Here is a 12943-nt window from a genome sequence, read left to right on the forward strand (position 1 = left end):
GGAGGATCACTTGAGTCCAGGAGTTAAAGACCAGCATGGACAACATAGCAAGATTCTTCTAAGTAAAATAAAATAAAATAGCCAGGTATGGTGGTGTGTGCCTAGAGTTCTAGTTACTTGGGAGGCTGAAGCAGGAGGATCACCTGAGCCTAGGAGTTCAAGGCTGCAATGAGCTATGATCACATCACTGCACTCCAGCCTAGGCAACAGAGCGAGACCCTGTCTCAAAAAAACAAAAAAAACAAAAAAGAAAATTTACAATGAAAATTTAAACATTTTGTAAAAGGAAACTACTCCAACCTCATCTCACCTTACCTCATCTCAGTGGCACTTTTTTAAGAGAATTTGCCTTTATAAAATTTCAAAAGTTCAAATAATCTACTTTTACAGATTATTACACTCTCAAAAGATGAATCAGCAAATGGAACTACTAATAATTTTTTTTTTTTTTTTTGAGACAGAGTCTTGCTCTGTCGCCCAGGCTGGAGTGCAGTGGCACAATCTCGGCTCACTGCAAGCTCAGCCTCCCCAGTTCACGCCATTCTCCTGCCTCAGCCTCCCGAGTGGCTGGGACTACAGGCGCCTGCCACCACGCCTGGCTACTTTTTTGTATTTTTAGTAGAGACGGGGTTTCACCATGTTAGCCAGGATGGTCTCGATCTCCTGGCCTCATGATCCGCCCGCCTCAGCCTCCCAAAGTGCTGAGATTACAGGCATGAACCACCGCGCCCAGCCTACTATGATTTCAATAACTCAAAATTAAAAGTCACAAGTTGAAACAAAAAAGATGTGACAATTTTTTGTGTGTGAGACAAGGTCTCATGCTGTCGCCCAGGCTGGAGTACAAAGGTGTGATCTTGGCTCACTGCAACAACCTCCATCTACCAGGCTCAAGCAATTCTCCTATCTCCACTTCCTGAGTAGCTGGGACTACAGGTGCATGCCACCACGCCCAGCTAATTTTTGTATTTTTTATAGAGACAGGGTTTCGCTGTGTTGCCCAGGCTGCTCTCAAACTCCTGAGCTCAGGCCATCTGCCCACCTTTGCCTCCCAAAGTCATGGTATTAAAGGCGTGAGTCACTGCGCCCAGCCAGACAATTTCTTGCTAATGTATTATAAACTACGTGAATATATATTGTCAAAACTTCAAGCCATATGGTAAAAAGTCCACCTTCACAGTACTCGTCCTCTCATTTCTTCACTGTTAAAAGTTTAATGTGTATCCTTCCATACCTTTTTTTAATATTTGTATATAACACTCTATTTGTACATTACTGAAACATTCTGTATCATTTGTGAGTAGGTTATATTCATCATGCCTATTTATCTCTCAAAAGATACTTGTGTATCTTTATTAAAAATGAGAATATTCTCTTAATCACAGCAATCAAATTCAGTATTATCTAACCTACAGTTCATATTCTGTATTTGTCAACTGAATCAAAAATCAATAATGCAGGCAGGGCACAGTGGCTCATGCCTGTAATCCAAGCACTTTAGGAGGCTAAGGCAGAAGGATCCCTTGAGTCCAGGAGTTCAACACAGCAAGACAGCAAGACCCTGTCTCTATAAAACTTTAAAAAATTAAGCAGACATAGTGGTGCACACCTGTGGTTGGCAGCTCCTCAGGAGGCTGAAGTAGGAGGATCACTTGAGCTTGGGAGGTCAAGACTGCAGTGAGCCATGATTGAGCCACTGTGCTCCAACCAGGGCAACACAGCAAGATCAAAATATACATATATAGTTTTTTTCCCCAATACAGGTCATAGTTTCAATTTAGCTGTCCTGTCTCTTTAATCTCCTTTCATCTTAAACAGTTCTTCATCTTTGCTTTGTCTCTCATGTCACTGACATTTTTTAAGAAGGTAGGCCAATTGTTTTACAGAATGGTCCCAACTAGGGTTTGTCCAAGGTTTTCTCACAATTAGATTGCAGGCTGTACATTTTGGATGTGGTACTATATAAGCAATGCATCCTCAAAGCATCAAATCTGGAGCAATCTTACTGTTGATGTTAGCTTTAATCACTTGGTTAAGATGTTGTGTGGTCACCAGGGCCTGTTGGGGGATAGGGGCAAGGGGAGGGAGAGCATTAGGACAAATAACTAATGCATGCGGGGCTTAAAACCTAGATGATGGGTTGATAGGTGCGGCAAACCACCATGGCACATGTATACCTATGTAACAAACCTGCATGTTCTGCACATGTATCCCAGAACTTAAAGTAAAATTAAATTAAATTAAATTTTTTAAAAAAACAGGCCGGGCACAGTGGCTCACACCTGTAATCCCAGCACTTGGGGAGGCCGAGGCAAGCAGATCACCTGAGGTCGGGAGTTCGAGACCAACCTGGCCAACATGATGAAACCCCTCTCTACTAAAAAAAAATACAAAAAATCAGCCGGGCATGGTGGCAGGCATGCCTGTAATCCCAGCTACTTGGGAGGCTGAGGCAGGAGAATCACTTGAACATGGGAGGTGGAGGTTGCAGTGAGCCAAGATCGCGCCACTGCATTCCAGCCTGGGAAACAAGAGCGAAACTCTGTCTAAACAAAAAAAAAAAAAAAAAAAGATGTTGTCTGGCTTCTTCCCTATATACTTACAATCTTTCCTTTTGTCGTAATTTGAAAGATACTTTGAAACTATATAAATGCCCTGATCCTCATCAGATTTCCCTCCATTGATTTAGGATCTATTGATGATTCTTGCCTTCCAAAAACTAATTCTGCCTCATTTTTTCTATACTATTAGTTGGCATTTACTGTAAGGACGAGCTGTACTTTTATCCCCATTTATGTATTTATTAATCTGCTTAAGATACATAGAAATTCAGGGATTCTTATTCAGTGGGTTTCAATCCATTAGGGCCCTTATTTATTTTGGTGATTAAATTGTCCCAGATTTGGCCAGTGGGAGAGTCTTCAAGCATGCTGCTGTGTCCTTTTGCTCCCCTTTCCCCCACCAAATCCCTTTTTGAGCACTTCCTCACTTTCTAATACAGGATGCCCCAGAATCATATTGAATCTATTCCACCCCAGTACTGGAATCAGCCATTGCTCCAAGAAGCTATAGTTCCTTTTGGTGAGAAATGGTATTTAAAAACCAAGATCTGGGTTCTAGGTATGCTCACTGCTCCTAAGATTATGCCTTGTCTTTCTCACTTAATAGTATGCCATAAACTTCCTTCCTTGTCTATACATGTACCTTAACCATTTTTTTGCATAATACTACATTAGGTGACTGTTACATCATAATTTATTGAAATACTTTCTTACTAATATAAACATTCAGATAATTTGTTTGCTTTGATTTTTCCAATTACAGTATTATAGTGAACATCCTTGTACACACATCACTGCACACATGTATGAGTATTTATCAGGATAGATTCCCAGACACGGAAATGCTAGATCAAGGACACAAACATCTTTAGTGTTGCTAGAAAAGGCCAAATCAAGCTACTAAAATGTTGCACTAACAGTGTATAAATTTTCCATAAACCTATGAGAAAATAAGATATCAAACAACTTTAATGTGCTAACATAAGCAGTTAGAAATTGTTATCCCATTGGTTTTAATTTCCATTTCTCTGATTAATAGACAATTATATTCATGCTTTGTTATAAAAGTTGCAAATATTTATCTCAGTCTGTCACTTGTTTTTTAACTTTATAGTATCCTTCACCAGATAGATTTTTTTCAATTGTTTTAAAATGTGGTCACATTTGTCAATGTTCTGTGGCTTCTGGGCCCTACTCTGTGTTTTGCTTTGGAAGGTCTCCATCAAATAGATTTTTTGGCCCTCAGATGTTTAACTCACCCAGAATTAAAAGTAGGGATCTAACTTTTTTCCCCAAATGAAGCACACCATTTCCATTTCCTGAATAGTTTATCCCTTCCCCCAATGATCTGAAATATCACACCTGTATCATATACTAAATCCATATAAATTCAAAGGTCTGTATCTAGATTCTTTATTGTGTTCCACTGATGTATTTGTCTTTCTGCATCAATACATTGCTGTTTTTTACTTCTAGGTTTTTATATCTAATAAGGCAAGTTTAGTTTCCTTGGATATTCTTAAACATTTGCTTATTGAGAAGAGCATTAAATTCAGCTGATTAGGTGCCAAATGGCAATTTTTATAATAATGATTTATAAATGTTTCTACCAGGTAAAACAGTAGCACTCACATTTATTTTGTCAACACCTTTCTTCATAGTCCTCAACCCATAATGCTGAACTTTGTTTAAAAAAAAAAAAAAAAAAAAAAGATATTGGCCTCATTCATCCAGACCTACACCTATTCAATCAAACTGTAAACCCTTTTTATTTTTACAAAAGCTCCTATGGTGCTTCTACTGTAATCAGGCACTCATTTGCTAAATAAGTGAGTCAATAATAAAGTTATTCTTTTTCAAAATGTAGATACCAGCCATTTAATTTCTCCTTTGCTTAGACAAACAATATTAGTGGTCTCCTAAAGAGGAACTATTGAGGGAAGGGGTCCAGCCATGTTACAGCAAGAAATCTCAGCAAGACACAACCTAGCTTTTCTGGTGGGCAATGCAGTAAGGCATCCCTACAGCCTGAAAACTGTACATATTCTTTAACCCAGTAATTCCTTATTAAGGAATTTATCCTAAGAAAATAATAGAAACAAGTCCACAAGACATAAGTGCAAAGATGTTTATCCTACTTCTTAAAAGCAGAAAAGTGGAAGCAATCCAAAAATTCTAAACTCCAGTAACTACAACACCAAGAAGTTGATTTTTTAAAGTCATGAACCAAATCTATTACATGAAAAGGCTCACAAAGGAAAAGCAAATATATTTACTGAGTTTTTAAACAAAATTAAATTTACACACACCTACATTTACTTAAATGGAACTAATATTCAACCAGTACATTCTAATTCAGCCAATCTGCTAATTAAGTCCACTGTCTGGTTAGTGCCCTGTGTCCTACCAATCTCTAAACATTTTTACTATCTCCCTGTAACATACAAAGAAAAAGAGTAAAGGAATATATAACAAAGATGAAAAGTAGTTACTTACTGGTGAGGGGTTCACAGTGGTTTTCATTTTTTTCAAACCACTTATCAGTATGTCCTAAAATATTTATATGCTACATTTACGATTAAGTTATTGGAAGAAGCTTAGAAAGATCCTAAAATTCCATCCAGCCCAACTACAAATCATTACAGTATTAGTGAAATTATTAAGAAAAGGGAAATTGAAGTAATTAGACCAAAATTTATTTTCACAGTGGAATCTTTCATTCCAACTTCACCTAAAATCAGTCAGAACTTAATATTTTTCTACATGAATATATCACAACTAGAGTCCTAAGTTGTATCAAAATTAATTTTCCATTAAAAAAAAACTGGCTTTAACCATGAAGTTTCATTTAAAATAGGCAAAAAAAAAAATAAGACCAGTGTAAGCAGCATGAATTTAAAGGTCACAAAACTACAAATCCTCACCCAAATACATATTCACTAACTAACCTCTGTAATATTCTCTTTATAATTACTATTTTTCAATATTTACTATTTAAATAGTCACTTACTGATATGGTTTGACTCTGTGTCCCCACCCAAATCTCATCTCAAATTGTAATCCCCACAAGTTGAGGGAGGGAAGTGACTGGATTATGAGAACGGTTTCTTCCACACTGTTCTCATGATAGGGAGTGAATTCTCACAAGATCTGATGGTTTTACAAATGGTAGTTTTTCCTACACTCACCCACGTGGTCTCGTGCTGTCTCTCTCTCTCTCTCTGCCCCCCATAACCTGCCTGCTGCCATATAAGACGTGCCTGCTTCCCCTTCTGCCATGTTTGTAAGTTTCCTGAGGCCTCCTCAGCATTCAGAACTGTGAGTCATTTAAACCTCTTTCCTTTATAAATTACCCAATCTTGGGAGGTGCTTTATAGCAGTGTGAAAATGGACTAATACACTTACCTATGATGTCTTCTTATCTCTGCACATTCTACTGCCATCCCAAATATAACAGCACTTGCTGGTATAACTTTCCCATACTTTTCACAATTAGCACTTTCACCTTTGGTCTAAAAAAAATAACAATAAGAATTATGTTATCACATGTATGTAAAAATGTGTGTGCATAATGATAAGCTATGAAAATATAATTTAAAAAACCTAAAAAGACAATAAGTAAGGATAAAGTAAGTTAAAGGTTTTTTTTTCTTCCTTAAAAAATATTTTTGGGCTGGGCACTGTAGCTCACGCCTGTAATCCCAGCACTTTAGGAGGCCAAGGCAGGCGGATCACGAGGTCAGGAGATCAAGACCATCCTGGCTAACACGGTGAAACCCCATCTCTACTAAAAACATAAAAAATTAGCTGGGCGTGGTGGCACGCGCCTGTAGTCCCAGCTACTTGGGAGGCTGAGGCAGGAGAATCGCTTGAACCCAGGAGGCAGAGGCTGCAGTGAGCCGAGATCACGCCACTGCACTCCAGCCTGGGCTACAGAGCAAGACTCCATCTTTAAAAAAAAAAAAGTATTTTTGGCCAGGCCTGGCAGCTCACACCTGCAATTCCAGCACTTTGGAAAGCCAAGGAGAGAGGACCACTTGAGGCCAGGAGTTTGAGACCAGCCTAGGCAACATAGCAAGACCCTGTCTCTACAGAAAAAAAATGTTTTTTTTAATTAGCCAAGTGTGGTGACATTGCGAGGCTGAGGTGGGAGGGCCACTTGAGCCCGGGAGTTTGAGGCTGCAGTAAGCTAAAAAACGTGCCACTGTGCTCCTACCTGGGCAAGAGAGTGAGACCCCATCTCAAAAAAACAGAATAAGTATTTTCATTGCTATATATGTATGAATATATATATTTTTTTCTCACAATACAAATGCAAAGGATACAAGAAAAGAGGGAGGATGGGGGGGAAAGGACTGTAAGTCTGCATAGAAAAAAAGACTTGGGTATGACTTTGATCAAGAAATCAGTATCAATACCTACTTAAAAAATAAATTGCTTGGCCAGGAGCGTTCGCTCACACCTGCAATCCCAGCACTTTGGGAGACCAAGGCAGGTGGATCACTTAAGGCCAGGAGTTCAAGACCAGCCAGGCCAACATGGTGAAACCCTGTTGCTACTTCAAAAAAAAAAAACTGCTCTTTTCAACCTTTAACTAGCAATTTTAAATCCAAATAATTTTCTGTTAATATTGAATTTTTATTACATATTAAAATCCTTTCATTGATAACACATATCATATAAACCAAATCAATGATTTGTGGGCTACAATAGAGGATTTCAATGCAAAATATAATTTGGCAATTATAATAGTCCTGTCCAAGCCATAGCCTGGGTTCAACAGGTACCTGAAAACAGAACCAAACCAGCTATTACTATACTCCCTTCTGATAATTTGCCAAAATTCTAGGCAGTGAGGTCTGTAAGACTGAAAGTACCTCCGTTTTTCAACCCTACTCAAGAATTCCATAGTCAGTCCGTCCATAAAGTAATCTCAATTCCTATGAATTCTTCCCTGGAGTATTTTTGCCTGTATATCTCATTCAGGCACATAATTATACATTGAATCATGTTGTTAGTAAATGTTTTTATGTTGTTTTGTTTTGTTTTGTTTTGTTTTGTTTGAGACGGAGTTTCGCTCTTGTTGCCCAGGCTGGAGTGCAATGGCGTGACCTCAACTCACTGCAACCTCCACCTCCCGGGTTCAAGCGATTCTCCTGCCTCACCCTCCCAAGTAGCTGGGATTACAGGCATGCGCCACCACACCCGGCTAATTTTGTATTTTTAGTAGAGATGGGGTTTCTCCATGTTGGTAAGGCTGGTCTCGAACTCCCGACCTCAGGTGATCCACCCACCTTGGCCTCCCAAAGTGCTGGGATTACAGGCATGAGCCACTGCACCCGGCCAGTAAAAGTTTTTTGCATAGATTTCTTTCCAACCACACAGTATGTACACCTTGGCAATGGAAAATATATTTCATATTGTTTTGTAAATATACTAAGGATTCAATAAATCTCTGATGAAATAACGAATTCTTAATCAGTTGTAAGTATTTTCATACTGCTTACCTTTGGCTGTAAAAGTAAATGCTCCCATGCATGAATCAAACTCTCCACAATTCCTTCTCCAAATAAACCTGCATCGACAGTTTCTGTTACAACTAGGGACACTCTATAGAATGATTTTTTAAAGATATATGTAAGTAAAATATCATGCTATTATATAAAGATGTCAAAGCTGAGAGGAGAAAGGAAGAGTATATTATAGAAACAGTCCATATGTAATATATCCTAATACATTTCATTTTTAAGATCTACTACTGAATCTTGAGGAACTTTACTCGAATGTTCCTTAAGCTCCTTTGTTCTCCACTGGCTCCTTCTCCTTGGTTTGGAAGATGGAGGGTGGGGGGAGGTGGGGAATGACAAACTTCACTTGGCCTTGTTCTCTCTCCAGGCTATTTTTTCATTGCCTACATCTTTAAGAGTGGTTCACACCCATTACCTTTATCAGTCTCTTCCTTAATGCCAAGCAAGAAGACTTCCAACTCCAACAGTCTATAAAAATATTCTCTACCATCAATAACTCCCTACTTATCAAAATGAATCCTCTTTCTCAGTTATCATTTTTTTATCTCCAAATAACACTGATTGCAGGAGAGAGCCCTCCTTCTCAAAATCTATCTCTACCTTCTATGATACTGCATCATCCATGTTTGCCTCCTATATGTTGACTGTGCCTCTCTTATCACTTCTCTTGCTTTACCCACTGCCTGAGTCTTAGAAAAAGCCTCGTCCACAGAACTCTGCTCTTCTGTCCATTCTTTCTTTCTAGAAAACTTTACTCAAAGACATACGAAAATAGTTTCTCCCTTCTCTGAACTCCTTCAGCATTTATTGCCAGTATCACTCATTTATGTAGTTAGAAGATAAGAAAAGTTTCATGAATATTCTTTATCTTCCTATCTAGACTGTAAGTTCCTTGAGGGTAAGAATGACTTTGGTATCCTCCACAGTGGCTAAACCCAACTTCTTATATACAGAAAATATCCAGTATTTATGATTGCATACACTTAGAATGTGAAAGGTGTTTCAAATCATCTGGTCCAATACCTTGAGGTCTAGACATTTGCTTAAGGTCAAAATAAATTAATAATAGTCTAATCTGGAATCCATAGCTCCTGGTTCAAAACCAATAGATCTTTCTACAACATTATCTGTGAGAAAAAGGTAGATTAAATTAAGGTAACTTTGATTCATGCTGACTCATGTCCCTCTCAAAATTCATACTGAAGGCCTTAACCCCGAAACTGACTATACTGGAGAAGGAAAGGCCGTGTAAAGACACAACAAGAAAGCAGAATCTGCAATCCAGGAAGAGAATCCTCACAAGAAACCAAACTTGCCAACACCTTGATCATGGTCTTCCAGCCTCCAGAACTGTGAGAAAATAAATGCCTATTGTTAAAGCTACCCAGTCTGTGGTATTTCGTTATGGCAGCCCAAGTGGAACAAGACAACTGAGGACAGTGTTTTTAGTGTTTTTTTCTATAAAATGGGTATGACATTTGCATTAATCTAATAGGAATTTTTTCATGAGAATAAATGTAGAGACGATTGAAAAGTGTTAGGTACTATGTTAAGATAAATACTATTATATGTATGGAAGAAAACTTTTTAAAGTCATAGTTGATATAAGGCACAAAAACATCTTCTTTCAATACAAACTGAATTGAAGTAAGATTGGAAGTTAAACCCAGAAGAGACAGGTAAAGTAAGTGCTACATAAAGAAAACTTTGTCTCTAAAATGACTAGTGTGGAACCAGATCATTTTCAAATTCCTTCTAGCTCTAAAATTCCATCACCCTTGTGATATGGATCGGAGTGAGAAAACATACTAAAAAGCCAAGACTTATATGACTTATATTCAAATCATTTAAAGGGCCCATGCCAAAATATACTGACAGCTGACATTTCCAAAGCTTTCATTTTAAACAAGTATATTAACACAAAATGTGATAAGTCCATTGAATCTGAACTGCTTGTGTTTTCTTTTTAAGTACAACTTTTTAGCAGTTATTGACCACACAGGATGAATTATCCATTTTTACAATGAGAACACTGAAATTAACAAAGGTAAAGTAACTTGCTAAGATCAAGTTTATTTGATCCCTTGCCACAAATTTTTCTCAAGATCTTTAAATATTTTTAATAAAGAATATAATTTTATTTAAATATGTCTTATAATAAACTATCTTATCCTATATCCATATCTTTACAAAATAAGGGTTTTGTAGCATTTTGTTTGGACTAAAAGCTAGAAATATATCTTAGTTTTTTAAAAATAGAGAAGTATAAACACTAAAATTAGTTTACATGATAATACCTTTCGGGAATATGTTTTGGAATCTCTATGTCAAGTGACTTCGTATGTAAGAGTTTGATCCCTGCTTCCATCTTGTTTGCTGCCACGACATCACAGGCAAGTTCATACATGGTCTTGGATAACTCACAGGCATACACGGAATGTGCTCCAGCTTTTTTAGCAAACATGCTACAAGGGAAAAAAGTTCTCCATCAAGAAAAAATAATCTACTGTATTTTCTCAAATTTTAAGGAAATGATGATGCTAAAATGTGGGGTTTTTCCTTTTATTCTTTAACACAACCATTACTCACTCTGCATTAAAAAATAAACTAATATTCTTGTCTAGAAACAAATCATACAATAAACCATGGGATCTACTCTATTAAAGACACAACTGGCATTGTATCTTTAATGAATACTAATGGGCTTTAACTTAGACAACTAGATTCCATCAGAATGTTAACATAAAAAAGACTCAAATTCATTATTCAAAATTTCAATAATCCCAAATTTTTCTTAGCAGTTATGTCCAGTTCTTGATAAAAGTTATAGTAAAAAACATAATAGTTACATAAATAACCCTAACAAGATTATAAGAAATACTTTTAAATTCCAATGTTAAATTTTCCATATCTGGCAAAATCTTTAATTTACATTAGAATACATGTATATACCATTAAAATGCAATTACTACCAACCTTAGTATTCCAGTTCCTGCTCCAATGTCCAAAACACTTTTGGACCCCAAACAAACTGCCTTTTGGATTGCTGCATTATAAATTGTATTCCTCTTGGTGTCATTAAGCATGATAAAGTGCCAGCGTTCCACCAACCAGTTTGCAACACGATAAAAATTCTCCTTTGCATCACTGAAATCAGGGTTTAGCTTCACTGCTTTATGAAAATACCCAGCTGCTTCATCCCTAAAGCCCATTCTAGAGTAAAAAATGACAAAAGACAAAATATATTCAACTATATGCTACCAACTGCAGTACCTTTGTTTATGCCACTCACTTGGCCTGGGAATTCCATGCCAGCACCCCAAATCCTGCCAATCCAAGTGCTACCTCTTTTGGGAAGCTGTCTGTGAGGACTGCAAGCCTCAGTATTTCTTTCTTTTCTGAACCACTACATTTATATATTCCGGGAGACAAACAAGTACCTGACTATAAATTACTGTTATACTAATGTATAGCAGAAGCTCTCACAGTCATCCTCCATTTAGCCAACTCCATTCCCTCTGTACAACACACTAATGCCTATGGCTTAGTAGGCTCCTCTTTGTGGGGGCCGGCATGCCTTTTGTCTCAGCAACTGAGTTGAATAGTCATCAAGAGTCAGTTGTATTTGCTGCCAGATCAGTTTATGTCAGTTGTACTTGTTATTATAATTACGTATTTTAACTAAATATCATACTAAGTAAATAAATATCACCGCAGAAAGGGAACCATTGTGCCTACAGACACTAAGCTAAATAAATGCTCTGGAAGAAAATCAAAGGCAAGTCACTTAAAATTAAGTACTATTTAATTATATGTGAGCAAATAAAAAATAAAAGGAGAAAAAAAAACCTATCCAACCCTCTAGAACAGTGCTTCTCAAACTATCTGTAATGAAGAACCTCTCCTCCCTTTTCTTCTTAATTTTTTATTTTTAAGACTAGTCAAGTGCAATACTGAGAAGGAGAGAATCCTCCCTTTCTTAAACATCTAATTGTTTGCAGACTGATATGGCTGTATTGCACATGATTCATATGGAGCTCACGTAATATCAGATTTCACCAGCACCCAAACTGATCTATATACTCTCTTCTGCATTACAGTTTCCTAACCATATGCTTGGATTTACAGCAATGTCAAGTTGCTACACCCATTTCCAAACACTTACTCTCAATTTCTATACTTACCTGTCATTAACCAGTAATCTGTGGGTGAGCAGCAATGTGTGGACCACACATGGAACAGAACTGAGCTAGTAGAACCCTCTTCATTCACAGTTCTTCATAAGTACCTTTAAGCATTCTGCCAAGTTTAGAGAAACTTTTTTTTTCTTTTTTTTGAGACAGAGTTTCGCTTTTGTTGCCCAGGCTGGAGTGCAATGGCACGATCTCGGCTCACTGCAACCTCTGCCTCCCAGGTTCAAGCGATTCTCCTGCCTCAGCCTCCCAAGTAGCTGGGATTACAGGAATGCGCCACCACGTCCGGCTAATTTTGTATTTTTAGTAGAGATGGGGTTTCTCCATGTTGGTCAGGCTGGTCGCAAACTCCCGACCTCAGGTGATTCACCCACCTCGGCCTCCCAAAGTGCTGAGATTACAGGCGTGAGCCACCGTGCCCAGCTAGAGAAACTTAATCATACTATTCATTCCAGGTATGGTTTAAGCAAAAGAGACATTCTAGAAGTCCAAACGGGACTGCACTCTAACAAAAAACAATGGTCCTATGTCAAATAAGAGACATTCATGATTTAGGTGAAAATTTCAATGTTTTCAGTTAATATATGTTATTTTAAGTTATCTTGAAGGTAGAACTATCTTGTTCTTATTTGCAACTACCATTGTACATAGTATAGTACCA

At 37.6% G+C, this 12943-nt stretch overlaps 1 protein-coding gene across 7 annotated transcripts in view; it reads right to left on the reverse strand.

Annotated features, from left to right (window-relative positions):
- The window catches only part of PRMT9 (protein arginine methyltransferase 9), a 46379-nt gene that overhangs the window by 24788 nt on the left and 8648 nt on the right, over nucleotides 1-12943 (reverse strand). For 3 of the 7 annotated variants that reach the window (NM_001304458.2, NM_138364.4, NM_001350142.2), the window contains 4 exons: nucleotides 11066-11302; nucleotides 10387-10554; nucleotides 8069-8171; nucleotides 5967-6073 (listed from right to left, as the gene is read on the reverse strand). In NM_001304458.2, coding sequence (NP_001291387.1) covers nucleotides 5967-6073; nucleotides 8069-8171; nucleotides 10387-10554; nucleotides 11066-11301 — 614 coding nt within the window. In that variant the 5' untranslated portion in view covers nucleotide 11302. Of the gene's footprint in view, nucleotides 1-1609; nucleotides 2059-5966; nucleotides 6074-8068; nucleotides 8172-10386; nucleotides 10555-11065; nucleotides 11303-12943 lie in introns of those variants that run through there. The other 4 variants (NM_001350141.2, NM_001350143.2, NM_001350144.2 and 1 more) reach the window with 4 other exon arrangements.

The sequence above is a fragment of the Homo sapiens genome, chromosome 4 (genome assembly GCF_000001405.40).
Source record: "Homo sapiens chromosome 4, GRCh38.p14 Primary Assembly".
Classification (NCBI taxonomy): Eukaryota; Metazoa; Chordata; class Mammalia; order Primates; family Hominidae; genus Homo; species Homo sapiens.